Source organism: Homo sapiens, chromosome X, assembly GCF_000001405.40.
Source record: "Homo sapiens chromosome X, GRCh38.p14 Primary Assembly".
In the NCBI taxonomy this organism is placed as follows: Eukaryota; Metazoa; Chordata; class Mammalia; order Primates; family Hominidae; genus Homo; species Homo sapiens.
Window position 1 is genome coordinate 78,762,123 of NC_000023.11, and position 21,315 is coordinate 78,783,437.

The window sequence follows — 21,315 nt, forward strand, 5'->3', positions numbered from 1 at the left end:
GCACAATATTACTGGTCACTAGGATAGCAAGCAATAGACAAGTAGCATGCAGTAGGAATTTCAGTAAGAGCAAAGCACAGCTGAAATTTCAAGGCCAGTAAAAGCCTTAAATGTATGCAAATTTCAAAAATTAATATTAAATTGTGGAAGCCCTGGTTCTCTTCGAGTTTTAGTGGGCAATCCATTGCTTCAATAAAACCCAGTGCAATCTATGCATTGTGTAGCCTAATTTAAAATGTAAGGCCAAACAGATCTGGAAAAGTACAGCTTTATCCTTGTACTTAATTTATACTATAGTGTACTGTAATTAAGCCTAAAATAAAAGCTATATTCTGAGTAAAGCCAAAAAAAAAAAAAAAAAAAGAACCATGTACTGCCTACTGTTTTGCTTCCTTCCCTCTCTGAGGGCCTGGGAATGAAGCTCTTCTTTACCAAATATCCAGAGAGATACTGAGTTCAGGATGTCAGAGGAGCAGGTCTAGTGTGAGGCCTAAAATGTGGCAGTGAAGGAAGTCAAACAGGTTCTCAAGTTGTCATGCCTTGTGTGGCCCTAGCAGCCAGCTTTCCTTCCTGTTTATCATGCAGCAGCTCAGACCTTATAGATAGAAAGGTAGTCACAAAGAGGCCTCATGCCTTATATTGATGTTCCAAGGTAAGTTGTCTCCTCCACACATTGTCGCTTTTCCTCCTCATGTTGGTGGTAGCAAAGCCAAAACTATGGGTCGCTTTCCCCAACTGGGAACCTGGAACTTCTTGACTAGACCCAGTTCAAGGCAGTTTGAAGTTCCTGAGAAACAAATTGGCTGGGAGAATTCCTAGGGATCCAGAATTCATTCATTTACTTATTCAACAAATTTCTTGAATACCAACCATGTGTCAGACATTCTTCTAGGCACTGGGGGTACAATCGTGACAATAACAGAAAAAAAAATCCTTGTCATTTTAAAACTTAAGCTCTCGAGTCAGAGCAAGCAAAGCCACTAACAAACAAATAAACAAGTTAAAAAGTAATAACAGTGTTTTCTGGCTGGAACCATGGAGGGTGTCAAAGAGAAGAAGAAGGTTTCCGTTGTGCCAGAAACCCTTAAGTGAAAGTAAAGTAATTTCGCAAAGCTGAAGATCAATCACCTGAGAAAGAAGTTTACACAAAGATGCTTTGAAAAACAAGGAGGAAGCTTATCTATGAAACAGTGAAGCACTATCACAAGGAATATACGCAGGTGTACAGAACTGAAATTCAAATGGCTAGGATGGCAAGACAAACTGGCAAATTTTATGTACCTGCAGAACCCAAATTGGCATTTGTCATCAGGATCAGATGTATTAATGGTATGAGGCCAAAGGTCTGAAAGGTGTTGCAGCTTCTTTGCCTTCGACACATCTTCAACGGAACCTTTGTGAAGCTCAACAAGGCTTCAATTAACATGCTGAGGATTGTAGAACCACATATTGCATGGGAGTACCCAAATCTGAAGTCAGTAAATGAACTAATCTACAAGCGTGCTTATGGCAAAATCAATGAGAAGCAAATTGCTTTGACAGATAACACTTTGACTACTTGATCTCTTGGTAAATAAGGCATCATTTGCATGGGGGATCTGATTCATGAGATCTATACTGTTGAAAAATGCTTCAAAGAAGCAAATAACTTTCTGTGGCCTTTCAAATTATCCTCTCCATGAGGTGGAATGAAGAAAAAGACCACCTATTTTGTAGAAGGTGAAGATGCTGGCAACAGGAGGACTAGATCAACAGTTTTATTAGGAGAATGAACTAAGGTGTCTACCATGATTATTTTTTTCTAATCTGGTCAGTAAATAAGCAGTATCTTCTCTCAGATTGAAATAAAAAATGTAATAAGAACAGATGATAATAAGTGCTATAGGCAAAAATAGAGCAAACACATACATGAAACAAAATTCCATGCTCCACAGCAGGACTGGGTTTAACTTTAATGGTTGTAAGCATTCATAAGATGAAGATGCTCCATTCTCAATAAATACATAAAATGAAAACCAATACTAAATTTATCAATGCATGTAAGGAAGTACAAAAAAGTTGATTCTTAAATATCGCATTTCTAATGTTTGTTTTTAAATGGGTTATGAGGGCCTGAAGTGCTGTTGTCCAAAATTTGTGCTTAGTTAATACATTTTGGGGTGTTTATGCTCTGGTTCAAGTCACAGGGATTCCAGAAGACTAATGAAGGCCCAAGCCTAGGCAACCTCTGGTCAGCAGTGCTGATCATGTAATGGCCTCAGCATCACCTTTCTTGTGCTTTCTCTTGCTTTAGGCAAGACTCTCATTCTCTCTCTCTCTCTCTCTCTCTCTCTTTCTCTCACTCCCACTCCCACACACACACCCTCCCCCTTCTTGCTTTCTCTTTTCTCTCCACTCTTTCTTCCCTTACTGCCTCCCCACCTTTCCTTTAAGCAGAACATGCTCCCAGGGAAGGATCTGAGTGCAAACTCTGTGCTGTAACAGAGAGCTTTGGGCTGGAAGCTCAAATCTGGTTTTGTACTCAGTTCTCCTACTCACTGTGTAACCTTGGGCAAGTCCATTCCTTTCTTTGTGCCTGAGTTCCCCTGTTAGCAGAATAAGCAAATTGGACTCAGTGATCTCTGAGGTCAAACTTTTTGGAAAACATTTCACAAAAATGGCTACCTATTCTCACTTATATGTGAGGCCAGAAGGAGTTTGAATAACAATAACCATATTAATAAATGCATTTTCAAATGCTCAATATGAGGCCATAGAATTTTGTGTGCTACTTTCTGATGCATATTGAGCATTTGAAAATGTATTTATTAATATTGTTATTGTTATTGATGACAAAAATGAGGCTTAGGAAGCCTAAATAACTTGCATAGCCAATAAGTGGCAAAACCAAGACTTGAACACAGGCTATCTGATTCTAATCCCCTATCAGCCATGGATAGACTGTTTCTAATAAATAATAACAACAATGAACATTTATTGCCTGCTTTCTATGTCTTAGACTTTGAGTTTTACATATATTATCTCTTTTAATATTTACAACAACCTTAGGAGTAGGTAATCTTACTGTCTCCACTTTACAAGTGACGGAACTGAGACAAAGAGTTAAGAAATGTGCCCAGGCAGAGGGCGCCCCTACTGGGAAGTGAGGAGCCCCTCTGCCCGGCCAGCCGCCCTGTCTGGGAGGGAGGTGGGGGGGTCAGCCCCCCGCCCGGCCAGCCGCCCCGTCCGGGAGGTGAGGGGCACCTCTGCCCGGCCGCCCCTACTGGGAAGTGAGGAGCCCCTCTGCCAGGCCACCACCCCGTCTGGGAGGTGTTCCCAACAGCTCATTGAGAACGGGCCATGATGACAATGGCGGTTTTGTGGAACAGAAAGAGGGGAAAGGTGGGGAAAAGATTGAGAAATCGGATGGTTGCCGTGTCTGTGTAGAAAGAAGTATACATGGGAGACTTTTCATTTTGTTCCGTACTAAGAAAAATTCTTCTGCCTTGGGATCCTGTTGATCTGTGACCTTACCCCCAACCCTGTGCTCTCTGAAACATGTGATGTGTCCACTCAGGGTTAAATGGATTAAGGGCGGTGCAAGATGTGCTTTGTTAAACAGATGCTTGAAGGCAGCATGCTCATTAAGAGTCATCACCACTCCCTAATCTCAAGTACCCAGGGACACAAACACTGCGGAAGGCGGCAGGGTCCTCTGCCTAGGAAAACCAGAGACCTTTGTTCACTTGTTAATCTGCTGACCTTCCCTCCACTATTGTCCTATGACCCTGCCAAATCCCCCTCTGCGAGAAACACCCAAGAATGATCAATAAAAAAAAAAAAAAAAAAAAATTAAAACCACCCAAAAAAAAAAAAAAAAAAAAAAAGAAATGTGCCCAAAGTATCATAAATAGTAAGTGGGTCTTGATATGAAATACAACATCTAATCAAGGCAAAGGCCCCATGATCTGGCCCTTACCTATTGCTCAGCCTCATCTTTCTGTTTTTAACTTTTATATTAAGTTCATGGGTACATGTGCAAGTTCATTACATAGGTAAACCTGTGCCATGGAGGTTTGTTGTACAGATTATTTTGTCACCCAGGTATTAAGCCTAGTACCCATTAGTTATTTTTCCTGAGCCTCTCTCTTCTCCCACCCTTCACTCTCTGGCACACACAACTGTCTCTTGTTCCCCTCAATGTGTCCATGTACTCTCAACATTTAGCTACCACTTATAAGTGAAAACGTGGTATTTCATTTTCTGTTACTGTGTTAGTTTGCTAAGGATAATGGCCTCAGCTTCATGTATGTTTGCGCAAAGGACATTATCTCATTTTTTTATGGATGCATAGTATTTCATGGTGTATATGTACCACATTTTCTTTATCCAGTCTACCATTGATGGGCATTTAGGTTGATTCTGTATTGTTGCTATTGTGAATAGGGCTTCAATGAACACACATGTTCATGCGTCTTTATGATAGAATGATTTACATTCCACTGAGTATATATTTAGTAACGGGATTTCTCATTGAATTCTAGTTCTGTTTTTAGTTCTCTGAGGAATTGCCACACTACTTTCCACAATAGTTGAATTAATTTGCACTTCCACCAACAGTGTATATAAATGTTCGTTTTTCTCTGGAACCCACCAGCATTTGTTATTTTTTGACTTTTTAATAATAACCATTTTGACTGGTGTGAGATGGTATCTCATTGTGGTTTTGATTTTCATTTCCCTAATGATCAGTGATGTTGAGCTTTTTTTCATATGCTTCTTGGCCACATGCATGTCTTCTTTTGAAAAGTGTCCAAAACAGTGCTCAAAAATTCAGAGATGACACAAACAAATGGAAAAATATACCATGCTCATAGACATGAAGAATCAATATCATTAAAATGGCCATACTGGGCTGGGTGCGGTGGCTCACACCTGTAATTCCAGCACTTTGGGAGGCCGAGGTGGGCGGAACACGAGATCAGGAGATGGAGACCATCCTGGCTAACATGGTGAAACCCTGTCTCCACTAAAAATACAAAAGCAATTAGCCGGGCATGGTGGTGGGCACCTGTAGTCACAGCTACTAGGGAGGCTGAGGCAGGAGAATGGCGTGAACCCAGGAGGCAGAGCTTGCAGTGACCTGAGATTGCATCACTGCACTCCAGCATGGGCAACAGAGTGAAACTCGTCTCAAAATAAAAAATAAATAAATAAATGGCCGTACTGCCCAAAGAAATTTATAGATTCAATACTATTTCTATCAAACAACCAATGACATTCTTCCAAGAACTAGAAAAATCTATTTTAAAATTCATATGGAACCAAAAAGAGCTCGAATAGTCAAGGCAAACCTAATCAAAAAGAACAAAGCTTGAGGCATCACGTTACCTGACTTTGAATTATACTACAAGGATCAAGTAACCAAAACAGCATGGTACTGACACAAAAACAGACACATAGACCAAAGGAAGAGAATAAAGAGCCCAGAAATAAGACCACACACCTACAACCATCTGATCTTTGACAAAGCTGACAAAAACAAGCAGTGGGGAAAGACTCTGTATTCAATAGCTGGCTATCTATAGGCAGAAGATTGAAACTGGAACTCTTCCTTACACTGTAGACAAAAAAATCACCTCAAGGTGGATTAAAGACTTAAATGTAAAACCCAAAATTGTATAAACCCTGGAAGGAAACCTAGGCAATACCATTCTTGACGTAGGAGTGGGCAAAGATTTCACGATGAAGACGCCGAAAGGAATTGCAATAAAAGCAAAAATGGATAAATAAGATCTAATTAAACTAAAAATCTTTGCACAGCAGAAGAAACTATCAACAGAGTACATACAGACAACCTACAGAATGGGAGAAAATATTTGCAAATTATGCATCTGACAAAGGTCTGATATCCAGCATCCATAAGGAACTTAAACAAATTTACAAGAAAAAAAAAACGTTAAAAAGTGGTCAGCCTCATCTCTTACTACTCTGTCCTTCACATTTGAACTCTGGGTACACTAGTCTTCTTTCCATTCTCTTATTATATTAAATGAAGCTCATTCTTATTTTAAGGTCTTTGCCTTTGCTGTTTCCTATGTTTAGAACACTTTCCCATCAGGTCTTCATGTGGCTGGCTTCTTCTCATCATTTAGGTTCAAATGCTACCTCTTCAGAGAGGACTTCCTTGATCATCCAATCTACAGTAGACACCCAGTTACTTTTATCACATTACCCTATTTTAATATTCTTCATAGTACTCTGAGATATTCATCTTTTTGATTTATTTGTTCAGTGTCTGTCTACATCGCTCCCTCCCCCTACATAAAAGGTAAGCTCCATCAGGGTAGAAACCACGTTTTTCTTTTTCAATACGGTATCTAGTAAATAGACACTCAAATAATATTTGTTCAGTGAATCAATGTGGCATATCTGGGATGGGAAATCACATCTGTATGGCTTTAATCCTCTAGCTCTATACTCTACTGCCTCTCAACTTATCACTTGAGCCTTCTCTTTACACCAAAATGCGCTTCACATTGCTTTATGCAAACTTTTAGCAGAATATGAACGTTGAAGAGCAAAGTGTTTTCATTTTACAATACAGTTGGCAAAGTACATACTTAATTTCCTAGATGGCTACTTTCGTCACACTATCTTTTTTTACTTTGGGGTATTTTGCAGATTATAAGGGTTCCCAAATATCCAAATGTTCAAGGAAGATATAAAAGAAAGAAGACAGACCTTGAACATATTTGAAACTCTTAAACTATATTCAGGTCCCAAGTAAAAAACTCCACTTTTCCTTTTGCAGTTTCCTGTCATTTAATTTGTGCCCTCTGGTATTTGTTGGCACTTTTGAGTTATATATTAGAGCTCTCGGTCCATATGGCATGTCACACAGCACATAAAGTTGACTACAAAGAAGTATCTTGTTACTGGTGATTCTGAAAAATATGTCATTCCTTTCAGCACACATTCCCCTGGTTGATTTGCAGTCTACTTCTTTACTAGAAACCACTGTCTAGCCATTGAAAGAACATGTTTTTACTAAAAAAGAAAAAAAAAGAAAAAGTGAGCAAGAAGGAAGGAGAAAGTGCTATGTGACTGGATGTCATCCAGGAAGTGCTTACATAGCTTTAACTGTAATGGAGTATAATGGCAGCCTTTTTCTAGGAGGCTCTGGGGCCAGTCCTCACAGTTTTCTGTTTGCAGTTTTACTAGGAGAAGTCTGTGCTGGCTTCTCAAATAAAACGTACTGCTATCATTATCTGCCAGGATGCTAAGTGAAAAGATCCATTATTTTTGATATTTAATACCTTATAAATTATATGGAGATTGTGTTGACCGACAGGGACATCTGGAATGATGGTCAGGGATTTTTTTCCTAGGTCAGATAGACTGAGTGTCTGTTTGTTCATCAATGACCAGTTATGCATTCATAGAGAAAAGGTCTCTTCTCAGCTGCTGGTCAGCTAACCTCAGAGGAATTGGAATTACTGAGTTTGAAGGAGGAGATGCAAATGAGCAGTGGCTAGCTGGAATTTATATGGGATATGTATAGCTGCCTGTTTCCTAACAAAGGTGAATTGTGAGAGCAGACCAGGGCTTGAAGGACAGAGAAATTCTGTGTTGGTTAAGCAGAGCTGGATGTGTTTTTGTTATTTTTTCACCTTCCATATTGGCTATCTCTGTAGACAGTTGAAGGTGCTTGGCTTTTGAATATTGGCCAGGAGTTAACTCATTTCTGACTGTAGTCTCCAAATTTGCTCCCGGATTCATTCTCAAGAAGAAAAAGATGAAAATTGCAAACCCAATAGTAGTATCTTCTTGGTCTTGAAGACTTTTTATTCCACTGTTAATTCACCAGTTTTTTTCCTGCTGAAACACTTGCTGTTATGTTTCTGTCCACAGTTTTGGTTTGTTCTGGGGCATTTTTGGCTTCACATTTAAGCCTTAATATAGGGAGTGCCTGACACACCCCTCCCTAAAGCAGGGCATGCCTGGGGATTAGCTGTTCTCACAAGCTGAGATGGATTTCAATGAGCTGTTCACTCTGTCTTGCCTGGCCCCCTGTGACAAATGGCATGCCTTTGCTAGGCAGCAAGCTGGGGCTGAGGCTATAGAGAAAAAAGTAAATGAAAAAAACCCTTTCACTAGGTTGGAAAAAAGGGCATGACAATTAAGGCTAACAAGAAGGGCCATCTTCATTCAATTAACAGATGGTGAGTTAAATAGCAATGAAATTAATACTTTTTAAAATAAAGTCAGAGAATTCAAAGGCATCAAAACTGTTTTAGTGAATGTAATTGTTTTTAGCTAACCTTTAAAAATTTTAAATAGCATTTAACAATCAACTTCAGTGTTGTTTAAGCTCCAATTAAAACACTGTACTCAAGAAGTCCCGGCTGTCAATTTTGTTTCTGCACATGGAGTTTACTGTGTGTGTGTATATGTGTATATGTAGTATGTGCACATACTCATAGAATATCCATTATATGTTACAGACATGTATCTCCATATGAGGTATGTATATCATATGTCTTTCCTTAAAACTCATGTTTTGTGAGTAGGTAATGATATTTGAAAAGGACAGTTTCTAACAGAAGAGCAACTTCAGCTACCTGATGGCCACAGACAGTAGGTATTATAAATTCCTCTTTAATGAAAGATAGGAGTGAGGGTAGGGTTATTATAATGGGAATATTTCTGCTGTGTTGCTTTCTAAAGAAACAAATATTATATAAAATATTATATGAGCTTTTAAAATGAAAGTCAATAATATAATGGAATACCTCCCAACTCAACTCCCCAACAGCACCTATTTAGCAAAATTGTAGCTAATTATCATTCATTTATTATTTATAATTATCATTTAAGTCCAAGTCCAAATGTCTTTTCCTTCTTGGAAAGTCTTTTTATTATCCTCAGGTAGAACTAGCTGGCCATTCTCTACTCTTGATTATCACAGCATCCCCTTTGTCATATTATATTACAATTTATTTTCTTTTACATTTGCCTCTCTTGTAAAACATATTTACCTCTGTGGGACCATTCACCTGGCAAATAGTGGCTGCTCACTAAATGCTTGTTGTGTGAAAGAATGAGTGAGTGCGAAGGTGTTACATCATGTGGCACATACTGCAAAAAACTCTGGGTACAGTGACCATAATTTCTGAGTATATTATCAGGTCCTATGGCCTATCAAATGATTTTATGCTGCTTCTGGGTAAAAGTGGCAGAGGTAAGAGATGTATTTTGAAAGACAAAGCATTGTAATTTCCAGGACTTCTCTGTGATTTATAAGGACATAGGATACAATACTTGAAGTTGGGTCTGTCCTGGAAAAACTGATATGTATGGCTGCCATAGAAGCAGAATCTAAAGAACACTTAGATTAGAGAGCATGCACTTGATCTGATAAATGTGAGCAATCCTCCATTGTAGGGTGAAGGCTGGTGGTTTATTCTCCCAGAAAGATGGGTAATGCTCCAGGGATATTGTAGTCATGGACTGTGTAGTACAGAAATATATGGAGTGAGCCCAGATGACATAAAATTCACTCTTTGGAATATTTTTACATAGAAAGGATAAAATACATTATTTTCTGCATGTACAGAAAATGCATTTTCACCAATCAGTCAGACAGCCACAGGCTTTGGCGGATGTGACAGGAGGAGGGGTTAATATTTATTGCATGCCTATTATGTGCCCAGCACTGTACTTAGACTCTACTGTACTTTATCTCATGTAATTTTACCTTACAACCATTCTGTGGTACACATATAATCATGTTTTTGAAAATGGCTAGACCAAGGTTTGAGAGGGTTGGAGTTGGGATTCCATCTCAGCCTGAATAACTGCAAAAAGGGTAGAGGTAGACTTCAAAGTTAGGCTTACATTACTTCAAGGTGTGTAAACTATCCATTGTACTTTGGTGACCGCTTAACTAATTGAATTAATACAAGTCTATGTATTGAAAGCAAATGATGAAGAGCAGACAAGACAGGCATGTGGCCGGATCTGGGGTTCCTTCTTAGAGAATCTATCTGACAGGATGAGGGTCAAAGAAGGGCTGAGATCACCAAAGAGATGGTTACAGTCTCTGGGCCAGACATTACCATGTATTAAACACATTGATAGAAATTTTTATGTAGCTTACCACATTTAATACACTTCCTCAAAACAATCTTGCAAGGTATATATTATTTTCTGAATTTTATAGCCAGAGAAACTGAGGTCCCTTAGGTTAAAAAGAAATTAGATAATTTGTCTAGGTCACATAGTTGGTGGGCAATAACTCTAATGCTTGACACAGACACTCACTTACTGTGTTTTCTTTCAAATCCCAGCCATCCTTGGGTATATTTTGAGCCCACACGTGTCTCTTCTTCTACTTCTACCCAAAGGGGGCCAGGCCGTGGTTGCCTCCTCCATAATGAACTCCCTCCCTTTTATCACAGGACTCAGACATTTCTCAGCAACGCCCAGGAGCAAGCCCGCCATTGATACTGCAAGTGACATACTTCACTATATATCTACTGTCATCCAGATTGTAAGACCTGTAAAACATGAACTTGCCACCCCTCTAACACTGGAGTTGTCAGGAAAAGAACTCTCAGAAAAAACAGCACTCCTGGTCTCTTGCAGCTCAAGATCAGGCTGCTACCTCAGCAAGTAATCAAAAGTGTCAGTGAATATTCACGTTTTCTGGTGGGATCTGGAGGTTGCTTCTAAATGTCACTGTGCAAGTGGGGTCATGGGGAGTGAGAAGTGGAGAAGAGATTGAGTTCTGGGCCTCTGAAAATCTGCTAGTTATACTTTTCTCTGGAGGCATCTTTATGAGCTATGTGTGGAACCCTTCATATATATGCAAGGCCTGTGGAAACCAACATGTGCTTTCACTCACTCCAAATTCTGCTCCTGAATATCCCCCTGCCTTGTGTAAATAGCTCATGTTTGCCTCATGTTTGTCCACTCCTTGCCTCAAGGAAAAGCAAAAAAATGGCTGCAAGTTTGTCCTTCTTGAGAAGCAAATGTCTTGTGTATTTCTGATTGTAGAAACATATTCCTTCTTCCATTTGTGTGGACAAAGGAGAAGGCCTAGTTAAACACAGCACAGGAATGGAGCAGAGAACTGTGAAAGTTGAAAAAAAAAAAAAAAGCATGGGTAGTCCCTCCATCCCACTCTGATCTCCTTACCTTCTCCTGACAAATAATGTAACTACCAAGCATTTCCAAGAAACTCCTAAAAATCGTGTCATAAGCCTGTGGGATTTGTATCATAAACTGTCAATAGTGTGTGCATTTTCTTTCAAGGCAAGTTACAGGTACTTCTACACATCAAATCTCTCAGTAAGAAATGTTTCTGTGGTGAGAAATTTGCTCTATCAGAAGCATTTCTAAGGTTTAGGCAATGAAAGGTGGCTTTACTGATCTGGTGAAAGAAAACATTCAGCACAAAAGGTATTGCTGCTGGAATGCAGAAGGGAACCATTACCTTTCCTCTGGGAAGATCAACAGCCAGAGCAGCATACGTGGCTTATGAATCAACTATTTGCTGGGAAGTTACACTGGCTAATTCACCACCAGGTGAGAGGCAGCAAAGAACAGTGGGAAGAGAACTCACCTTAGAATTGGACAGACCTGAGTTCAAATCTCAATTTTTTTAAAACATGTCTCTTTTTTTTATTTAAATTTTTATTTCCATAGTTTATTGGGAAACAGGTGGTGTTTGGTTACATAAGTTCTTTAGTGGTGATTTGTGAGATTTTGGTGTACCCGTCGCCCAAGAAGTATACACTGCACCTAATTTGTAGTCTTTTATCCCTCATCTGCTTCCCACCCTTTCCCCCTGAGTTCCCAAAGCCCACTGTGGCATTTTTATGCCTATGCATCCTCATAGCTTAGCTCCCACCTATGTGTGAAAACATACGATGTTTGGTTTTCAATTTCTGAGTTACTTTACTTAGAATAATAGTCTCTATCCAGGTTGCTGTGAATGCCATTAATTCATTCCTTTTTATGACTAAGTAGTATTCCAACACACGCGCACACACACACACACACACACACACACACACACACACACATATTCCAACATATATATATATGTTTATCTATCTATCTATCTATCTATCTATCTATCTATCATCTATCTATCATCTATCTATCTATCTATAGATCTCACACTTTCTTTATCCACGTGTTGATTGATGGGCATTTGGGTTGTTTCCACATTTTTGCAATTGCGAATTGTGCTGCTTTAAAGATGTGTGTGCAAGTATCTTTTTTGTATGATGACTTATTTTCCTCTGGGTAGGTACCCAGTAGTGGGATTGCTAGATCAAATGCTAGTTCTACTTTTAGTTCTTTAAGGAATCTCCACACTGCTGTACTAGTTTGCATTCCCAACAGCAGTGTGGAAATGTTCCCCGTTCACCACTTCTGTGCCAAAATCTATTATTTTTTGATTATGGCCATTCTTGCAGGAGTAAGGTGGTATTGCATTGTGGTTTTGATTTGCATTTCCCTGATCTTTAGTGATAATGAGCATTTTTTCATATGTTTCTGGCCATTTGTATATCTTATTTTAAGAGATGTTTGTTCATGTCCTTAGCCCATGTTTTGATGGGATTGTTTGTTTGTTTTTTTTTTCTTGCTAATTTGTTTGAGTTTGTTATATATTCTGGATATTAGTCTTTGGCAGATGTATAGATTGTGAAGATTTTCTCCCACTCTTTGGGTTGCCTGTTTGCTCTGCTGTTTCTTTTGCCATGCAAAAGCTCTTTAGTTTAATTAAATCCCAGCTATTTATTTTTGTTTGTATTGCATTTGCTTTTGGGTTCTTGGTCATGAAATCCTTGCATAAGCCAATGTTTAGAAGGGTTTTTCTGATGTTATTTTCTAGAATTTTTATGGTTTCAGGTCTTAGATTTAAGTCCTTAATTCATCTTGAGTTGATTTTTGTATAAGGTGAGAGATGAGGATCCAGTTTCATTCACCTACATGTGGCTTGCCAATTATCCCTGCACAATTTGTTGAAAATAATGTATTTTCCCCACTTTACGTTTTTGTTTGCTTTGTCGAAGATCATTTGGCTGTAAGAATTTGGCTTTATTTCTGGGTTATCCATTCTGTTCCATTGGTCTATGCACCTATTTTTATACAAGTACCATGCTGTTTTGGTGACTATGGTCTTATAGTATAGTTTGAAATCAGGTAATGTGATGCCTCCAGATTTGTTCATTTTGCTTGGTCTTGCTTTGGCAATGCGGGCTCTTTTTTGGTTCCATATGAATTTTCGGATTTTTTTCCTAGCTCTGTGAAGGACGGTGGTATTTTGATGGGAATCACACTGACTTTTTTGATTGCTTTTGACAGTATAGTCATTTTCACAATATTTAATCTACCCATCCATGAGCATGAGATGTGTTTCCATTTGTTTATGTTGTCTGTTTTCTGATAGGAGTGTTTTGTAGTTTTCCTTGTAGAGGCTTTTCACCTCCTTGGCTGGGTATATTCCTAAATATTTTATTTAATTTTATTTTATTTTTGCAGCTATTGTAAAAGGCGTTGAGTTCTTGATTTGATTCTCAGCTTGGTCACTGTTGGTGTATAGGAGAGCTCCTGATTTGTATACATTAATTTTGTATCCAGAAACTTTGCTGAATTCTTTTATCAGTTCTAGGGGCGTTTCGGAGGAGTCTTTAAGGTGTCCTAGGTATACAATAATATCATCAGGAAACAGCAGCAGTTTGTCTTCTTCTTTAATAATTTGGATGCCCTTGATTTCTTTCTCCTGTCTGAGTGATCTGGCTAAGACTTCCAGTGCTATGTTGAAGAGAAGTGGTGAGAGTGACTATCCTTGTTTTGTTCCAGTTCTCAGGAGAAATGCTTTCAACTTTTCCCCATTCAGTATTATGTTGGCTGTGAGTTTGTCATAGTTGGCTTTTATTACAATGAGGCATGTCCCTTGTATGCCAATTTTGCTGAGAGTTTTAATCATAAAGCGATGCTGAATTTTGTCACGTGCTTTGCATCTATTGAGATAATCATGTGATTTTTGTTTTTAATTCTGTTTATGTGTTGTATCACATTAATTGGCTTGCATATGTTAAACCCACCCTGCATTACTGGTATGAAACTCACTTGATCATGGTAGATTATCTTTTTGATATGTTGTTAGATTTGGTTAGATAGTATTTTATTAAGGATTTTTACATCTGTGTTCATCAGGGATATTGGTCTGTGGTTTTCTTTTTTGGTTATGTCCTTTTCTGGTTTTGGTATTAGGGTGATACTGGCTTCACTGAATGATTTAGGGAGGATTCACTTTTTCTCTATCTTGTGGAATAATGTCAATAGGATTGGTACCAATTCTTCTTTAAATGTCTGGAAGAATTCCGCTGTGACTCTAACTGGTCCTGGACTTCTTTTTTGTTGGTATTTTTTTTATTACCATTTCAATATCACTGCATGTTATTGGTCTGTTCAGGGTATCTAATTCATCCTGATTTAAGCTAGGAGGGATGTAGCTTTCCAGGAATTTTTTCATATCCTCTAGGTTATCTAGTATATGCACGTAAAGGTGTTCATAGTAGTGTTGAATGGTCTTTTTATTTCTGTGGTGTAAGTTGTAATATATCCCGTTTTGTTTCTAATTGAGCTTATTTGTATTTTATCTCTGCTTTTATGGTTAATCTCGCAAATAGTCTATCAACTTTAGTTATCTTTTCAAAGAACCAGTTTTTTTTTTCATATATCTTTTGTATATTATTGTTTCAATATCATTTAGTTCTTCTCTGATCTGCATTATTTTCTTTCTTCTGCTGGGTCTGGGTTTGGTTTGTTCTTGTTTCTCTATTTCCTTGAGATGTGACCTTAGATTTTCTGTTTGTGTTCTTTTAGACTTTTTGATGTAGGTGCTTAGGGCTATGAGCTTTCATCTTAGCACCGCCTTTGCTGTATCTTAGGGGTTTTGATAGGTTGTGTCACTATTTCATTCAGTTTGAAGAATTTTTTGAATTTCCATCTTTGCAGGTTCCTTTTGGAGTTGATTCCCAGTTTTATTGCACTGTGGTCTGAGAGAGTAGTTGACACCATTTCAATTTGCTCAAATTTATTGAAGCTTGTTTAGTGACCTATCATATGGTCTATCTTGGAAAAAGTTCCATGTGCTGATGAATAGAATATATATTCTGTGTTTGTTGGGTGGAATCTTCTGCAAATATCTGTTAAGTCCATTTGTTCCAGGGTATAGTTTAAGTCCATTGTTTCTTTCTTTTTTTTTTTTTTTTTTGGCAGAGTCTTGCTCTGTCGCCCAGGCTGGAATGCAGTGGCATGATCTCAGCTCACTGCAAGCTCCACCTCCCAGGTTCACGCTATTCTCATGCCTCAGCCTCCCCAGCAGCTGGGACTACAGGCGCCCGCCACCACGCCTGGCTAATTTTTTTGTATTTTTGGTAGAGATGGGGTTTCACCATGTTAGCCAGGATGGTGTCGATCTCCTGACCTCATGATCTGCCCGCCTCGGCCTCCCAAAGTGCTGGGATTACAGGTGTGAGCCACCGCGCCTGGCTTTCCATTGTTTCTTTGTTGACTTTCTGTCTTGATAACCTGTCTAGTGCTGTCAGCAGGGCATTGAAGTCCTCCACTATTATTGTGTTGCTGTCTATCTCATTTCTTAGGTCTATTAGTAATTGTTTTATAAATTTTGGACTCCAGTGTTAGGTGCATATATATTTAGGATTGTGATATTTTCCTGTTGGACAAGGCCTTTTATCATTATATGATGTCCCTCTTTGTCTTTTTTAAACTGCTGTTGCTTTAAAGTCTTTTTTGTCCAATATAAGACTAGCTACTCCTGCTCGCTTTTAGTGTCCATTTGCATGGAATGTCTTTTTCCTTTACCTTAAGTTTATGTGAGTCCTTGTGTTAGGTGAGTCTCTTGAAGGCAGCACATAGGTGGTTGGTGAATTCTTATCTATTCTGCAATTCTGTATCTTTTAACTGGAGCATTTAGGACATTTACAATCAGTATTAGTATTGAGATGTGAGGTACTATTCCATTTATTATGCTATTTGTTTCCTGTATACCTTGCTTTTTTTTAATTGTATTTTTGTTTTATAGGTCCTGTGAGATTTATGTTTTAAAGAGGTTCTGTTTTGATGTGTTTCCAGGATTTGTTTCAAGATTTAGAGCTCATTTTAGCCATTCTTGTAGTGCTGGCTTGGTAGTGGTGAATTCTGTCAGCATTTGTCGGAAAAAGACTGTATCTTTCCTTCATTTATGAAGGTTAGTTTTGCTGGATACCAAATTCTTGGCTGATAATTTTTTTTTTTTTTTTAAGGAGGCTGATGATAGGGCCCCAATCCCTTCTATCTTGTAGGGTTTCTGCTGAGAAATCTGCTGTTAATCTGATAGATTTTCCTTCATAGTTTACCTGATGCCTTTGCCTCACAATTCTTAAGATTCTTTCCTACATCTTAACTTGAGATAACCTGATGGCAATGTGCCTAGGCGAAGATCTTTTTGTGATGAATTTCCAAAGTGTTCTTTGAACTTCTTATATTTGAATGTCTAGGTCTCTAGCAATGCTGAGGAAGTTTTCCTCAATTATTTCCCAAAATGTGTTTTATGCTTTTAGATTTCTCTTCTTCCTCAGGAATGCCAATTTTTATTCTTAGGTTTGGTCATTTAACCTAATACCGGACATCTTGGAGTCTTTGCTTATATTTTCTTATTCTTTTTTCTTTGTCTTTGTTGGATTGGGTTAATTCAAAAACCATGTCTTGGAGCTCTGAAGTTCTTTCTTCTGATTGTTTGATTCTATTGCTGAGACTTTCCAAATAATTTTGCATTTCTATAAATGTGTCCATTTTTTCCTGGAGTTTTGATTGTTTTTATGTATGCTATCTATTTAACTGATGATTTCTCCCCTCATTTCTTGTATTTTTAAAGTTTATTTAAATAGGGCTTCATTCTGGTGAAGGCTCTGGTGCCTTTTTGATTAGCTTAATAACTGACTTTCTGAATTTTTTTCACGTAAATCAGGTATTTCTTCTCGGTTTGGATCCATTGCTGGTGAGCTAGTGTAATTTTTGGGGGGTGTTAAAGAACGTTGTTTGGTCACATTACCAGAGTTGATTTTCTGGTTCCTTCTCATTTGGGTAGGCTCTGTCAGAAGAGAGGTCTAGGGCTCAAGGCTGTTGTTCAGATTATTTTGTCCCATGAGGTGTTCCCTTGATGTAGTACTCGCCTCCTTTTCCTAGGGACGTGGCTTCCTGAGAGCCGGGCTGTAGTAGTTGTTATCTCTCTTCTGCATCTAGTCACCCAGCAGGTCTACCAGGCTCTGAGCTGATTCTGGGGGCTGTCTGTATGGAGTCCTGTGATGTGAACCATCTGTGGGTCTCTCAGCTGTGGATACCAGCACAGTATTTGGGGCATCTTCTGAGTCCTGCAGGAGCAATCTGCTTCCTTCAGAGGTTCTGTGGGTTCTCTCAGGTTTCTTGATTTATTCTTGCAGCAGATCTGAAGCAAAAGTTCATGATGTGAGACTCCATGCACTGCTCTGTCTGTCCGAGTGGGAGCTGCAATCTAGTCCTTCCTCCCATCCGCCATCCTCCCAAGTCATAAATCTCAACTTTTTCACATTGTAGTTACAAGGTTTTTGGCAAATTACCTGACTCTTCTAGATTACAGCTTCTTCCTTATAAAATGAAAATATATAATAACATTTACCACTTAAGACGGTTGTAACAATTAGAGATAAGTTAGTGCCACCCCAAACCTGGTAGTTACATAAGTATATATAGAATATGCGTCAAAAAATGGAAATTTCGTATAGAACTTGCCCCTGAATAGCTGTATGACAATTAAAAAAAATTCTTCCTCTTTTTAGGTCCAAGTTGCCTTATGGGTAAAAGGAAGGGAGCATACTAGACAATTGTCAAGATCCTTTTCAGCACTAACTTGGTGCAGTGTTAGAGCTGCTTCCCTGGAGATGCTAAGAAGGCTGGATGTGCTTCATACTTACTTGAAGAGTGATGCTTTTGCCTTTGGTCACTTTGATTAGTTCACAGTACCAGCCCCAGAGCTGCAGCTGAAGCTAAGGAGGGGAAAAGAAGGAAGCACTGTGATTCTGTAACTTGGGAATGTCCCTCTCCCTTTTGCACAAGAAACATGACCTTCCTGGACTCCATTTTCTTCATCTTAAAATGGAGTTATTTTGTAGGGTTGTTGTGAGGATCAAATGAGGAGATCAATGTAAAGCATCTAGTATAGTTCCTAGTACAAAATAGATAATAAATGACAGTTTATATTATAATTGAGCTGGGTTCAGGCAATCAATACATAAGAGAAGTACTTGTAAACAAATCCTTGGATAAAATCAAGATATTAGATAGATATATACCTTCCTTTAATATTAATTGCAAGATATAGTTATTGAGTACGATGTGTGAGGGACATCGAGGGTAATGAACAACTATGTGCATAATTTTGTCATTCACTGAGACAAGGAACACAGGTAGAGGAAAAGGTAATGTGTTCAATTTTAGATTTGTTGAATTTGAGATGTATGTGGGCCTTCCAAATGAAGGTTCTACTAAGCAGTTACATATGTCCATTTGAATCCCAGGAGAAACAATCTGGATTAGGCAAATGGACATCAAACCAGAGATGGTGGATAAACACATGGGGATGGATGAGATTATTCATATAAATTATTTGGACTAAAAATTATAGCGGGACAGGGATGGAACCCTGAGGAACACCAACATTCAAATGGCAGGTAGAGAAGGAGAGTAACAAAGAGTGACTAGAGATGTAAGAGTGAATCCTGGTAAGGATTACACTACAAAAGCCACTGGAAGAGAGCAATCAGGAAAGAGTTGTCAAAAATATCAAATGCTGACAAAAAGGCAAGTCCTTTAAGGAATGAGCATTCTTGGATTTAGCAGTAAGAAGGTTGTGTATTATTATTATGTCTTTGATTTTCACTGAAAGACAACATGAGAAAGGACCAAATGACAAATGTGACAACACATACCATAAAACTACTACCAAAAACTAGAGTGACTAATGTTTTTTCCTGTCCCTCATATATACACTTATTAAATTCTTATTAGAGACTAGCTCTAGGAAAAATTTACTTTCTTTCATGCGTGTCCACAGACAGCCATTGAGTACTTACTATGGGACACACTGATAAGTGCTTGTGATGCAAATAGAGTTGAGTCATAGTCTTTACTCTCAAAAAACTCATTAAAACTTCATTTATTCATACAATAAATAATTATGAATCTCCTAACATATATGCCGGATCCTGTGCTAATCACAAGATTGGTATAGTCTCTCCTGCATGGGGTTTCTAGTTTATTTCTTGAAGAGCTATTATTATTTTATTTATTGGACAATGTTCACTGTATAACTATCAAATTTCCCTTTTTGGTTTTACATCCAGGAATCCCCAAATTACATTCACTTAAATATCTAGAATGATCCTATCTGATTCTGCAAGAATTGTGAAAATATGACTTTTTAATCTCTCTTTAATGGCTCTAATTGTACATGTCTTCTATCAAAAGACTGAAAAATTTTTGCTGGAAACAAGTAAAGTATAAGTAAAAAATAAAGGCATACATACAAGCAAATACATAATGAAAAGGAATAGACACAGAGTCCTTCCCAGCTATTGTATTTTGTTTAGATGGCCTTCACATAGTAATTACCCCTTGACTTCTCTTAATCCTTGTCCATCTCCAAAATTCCAAACATCCCATTAGGAAAACTTATCTAAACTTCCAAACCACTCATTGAAATGAATAAGATCATGCAAATATTCCCCTCCAACTACATATCACTCACATACATCCATGAGCTAGAGTCATAGGGAATAGCTGTGTGGAAGACAGAAATCGATGAATGATGCCAACCCCATTACACCTTTTTTTTTTTTTTGAATGAATGACTCTTTATTTAGGGAATTTTCCTCCTTTCCCCTTTATCTTCAAAGCACTTTGTTTAACTTGCAAATGTACTGGACAGTTCCTTTGTGTGCTATATTCGATAGGGAGGGAGGTGGATATGAAGAGGCTGGAAATTTAATCTGTTTCACCACAGTGCTTGAGGTCTAGGAATATGATTTCTAGTAATTGGGACAATGAAATCCCACATCAATAAAAAAAATTGGCTTTCCCCATGTAGTTTATTAAAATAGGATTCTATCTGCACGTGTGTGATAATAACTGATTGCATTATTATGAAATAAGTAAGTCTATTCGTATGCATTTTTTTGTTTTATTTTAAAAAGAGAAGCACATAATGAGAGCCAAGATAATTATCAATAAAGCCTAAATATTAGGCAGATTAGGAAAGAAAAAGAAATGAAAACAGTAACAACAAAACCAATTCAACTCAAATCACATCACAGAGGATCAGCCTCCCTGAGCATTTCCATGGCAATAAGATCTTTCCCTTCACGATACTCCCTAAGTGGCCGTGGCCCTGATTTGAGCTAACATATAATTTAACATGCCAAAGCTTAAAGTATCACACAACACTTTCTTTAAATTTGTTCTATTTTGCTAGAAACCCTTCAGAAAGGGGATTAGAGACTACAAGTAGGTCTATGATATGAGAGTTGTTTTATTTAATTGATTAGATTCTGTTTTGTAGATACCAATGCTTGCCTCTTGGAAACATGTCACATGGGCATGCAGAAGAAAATTTGGAGATGGAGAATCCCTCTGCTGCTGTTTGTATCAATAGGATGGTTTGCTGATTTCCATGTGTTGTTACTCTAAGCTTCTTTCCTCTCCCCCACCTCAAGTTGCCAGGGCAATCTTTTCACAAACGCAGCAGCAACCACAAGTATAATTATGGAGACCAAATCACTCTAAAATGAGAATAGGCTCTCTTTTTTTAGAGACCTCAGCCTACAGAAGTTAAACTTAATGGCCAGACTTCTTGTCTGCAGTTTGGGTGTCACATGGTGAAGAAACAGAAGGTATAAATGGGAGGCCTAATGTCAAAATTTTCCAAGACTTCCATCTCTGGTACTGTGACCATTAGAGCATTCACAGTCTTTGTGCATTCCTGGTAATGCCCAACATTTCCAATCTGTCTGACATAATCCTTTGGTGCACTAAATCCACTTTCCAGACACAACTTATGTGGTTTGGCTCTGTGTCTCCACCCAAATCTCATCTTGAATTGTACTCCCATAATTCCCACATGTTGTGGGAGGGACCTGATGGGAGATGATTGAATTATGGGGTAGTTTCTTTCACCCTGCTCTGTGGTAATGAATAAGTCTCATGAGATCTGATGGT

At 38.3% G+C, this 21,315-nt stretch overlaps 1 pseudogene; it reads left to right on the top strand.

The window, feature by feature from the left end:
- On the top strand, window positions 1,020–1,847 carry RPL7P54 (ribosomal protein L7 pseudogene 54; annotated as a pseudogene).